At 44.3% G+C, this 1,980-nt stretch overlaps 1 annotated feature.

Annotated features, from left to right (window-relative positions):
• Positions 454-748: a silencer, noted in NCBI's record as "tiled region #1238; HepG2 Repressive non-DNase unmatched - State 24:Quies". NCBI's record gives its function as "represses a minimal TATA promoter and a strong SV40 promoter by Sharpr-MPRA in HepG2 cells {active_cell/tissue: HepG2}" and the evidence as "EXISTENCE:reporter gene assay evidence [ECO:0000049][PMID:27701403]".

The following is a 1,980-nucleotide window of genomic DNA, read 5'->3' as shown; positions in this document are numbered from 1 at the left end:
GGTCTCATTCCCTGGCTCTCTGCACATGGGTTGCCTGCATCACAGTTTAATAATGGCCTTGTGTCTAATGGGAGGACCTGATTAAGCAACTCTGAACCTGTGAAGGTTAATTTTATGTGTTAACTTGACTGGCCAAAGGGTGCCCAGAGTACACATTGTTTCTGGGTATGTCTGTGAGGATGTTTCCAGGTGAGATTAGCATTTGTTATTGTGGTTGTTGTTTTAATTGACAAATAATAATTGTGTATATTATGGGACACAAAGTAATGTTTTGATCTACATATACATTATAGAGTCAATGAAGCTAATTAACATGTCCATAACCTCACCAATTTAACTTTTTTGTGTTGAGAACATTAAAAATCTATTCTTTCAGCAATTTAAAAATATACAATATATTATTAAATTAATTGTGGTCACCATGCAGTGCAATCAATCACTAAAACTCATTCCTCCACACTAATTCTAACTTTATACCCTTTTATCAATATTTTCTCTTTCCCCATCATTTCCCCTCCCATCCTGAGAACCAGCCACCTTTGAGATTAGCATTAGAATGAGTAAATTCAGTAAAGTAGAATGCCTTCCTCAATGCAGTTGGGCGTCATCCAATCCTTTGAGGGCCTGAATAGAACAAAAGACAGAGAAAAGAGACCTTTATCCCTTTTTTCCTCCCTCACAGCTTTAACTAAGACAGGTCATGTCATCTTCTGCCATCAGACTGGGATTTACGCCATAGTCTTCCCTGGTTTTCAAGATCAGACAATTGCACCAGCTTTTCTGAGTTTCCTGCTTTCAGATGGCAGATTTTAGAACATCTCAGCCTCCATAATTACATGAGTCAATTCTTTAAAATGAATCTATCTATCTGTCCAACATTTTTTTTTTTTTTTTTTTTGAGATGGAGTGTCACCCAGGCTGGAGTGCAGTGGCTTATCTCGGCTCACTGCAGCAACCTCCTCCCGAGTTCAAGCAATTCTCCTGCCTCCCTGAGGTAACTGGGACTACAGGGGCACACCACCATGCCCAGCTAAATGTTTGTATTATTGGTAGGGACAGGGTTTCACCATGTTGGCCAGGCTGGTCTCGAACTCCTGACCTCAGGTAATCTGCTTGCCTCAGCCTCCCAAAGTGCTGAGATTACAAGCGTGAGCCACCACGCTCAGCCCCAACGATCTATTCTCTACCGATCTAGTGATCTATCAATCCATATCTATCTCCTATCGGTTCTGCTTTTTTTGGTTGGTTTTTGTTTTTGTTTTTGTTTTTTGAGACGGAGTCCTGCTCTGTCGCCCAGGCTGGAATGCAGTGGTGCAATCTCGGCTCACTGCAAGCTCCGCCTCCCAGGTTCACGCCATTGTCCTGCCTCAGCCTCCCGAGTAGCTGGCACTACAGGTGCCCACCACCACGGCCAGCTAATTTTTGGTATTTTTAGTAGAGACGGGGTGGGGGTTTCACCGTGTTAGCCGGGATGGTGTCGATCTCCTGACCTCATGATCCACCCGCCTCAGCCTCCCAAAGTGCTGGGATTACAGGTGTGAGCCACCGCACCTGGCCTGGTTCTGTTTGTCTGGAAAATTCTTATGTATATGGAACCTCTCTCTACTCCTACATCCAAGAAAGGGATGCTCTTTCCTAAATAGGGCACAGGAGGACCTCATGCATAAATCAACATACTTGCAATGTATTCATGAGGAACTGCATCCCAAACAATAAGGGAGATGTGACCTAGTCAGAGAGAAAAAGCAACCCAGCCTCAAGGCAAAGAATTCACTATATCCACTATAGACAGAGCTCTCAGAGAATACACCTGAGGAGCTACCAGAGACAGTGACTTGTGGTGACCTGGAGAGCAGTCTGAGCACCTGTCCATGGGACTGTGGCTGCCTTCCCATCCTCTGGGCAGTCAGACAACACTTCTCACCTACTTCTACTTCCTGTTGGGAAAGTAGGGTGAAAATGATCCAATACTTGGGCTTG

The sequence above is a fragment of the Homo sapiens genome, chromosome 5 (genome assembly GCF_000001405.40).
Source record: "Homo sapiens chromosome 5, GRCh38.p14 Primary Assembly".
NCBI classification, from domain to species: domain Eukaryota; kingdom Metazoa; phylum Chordata; class Mammalia; order Primates; family Hominidae; genus Homo; species Homo sapiens.
This window is presented reverse-complemented; position numbering and strand designations above follow the sequence as displayed.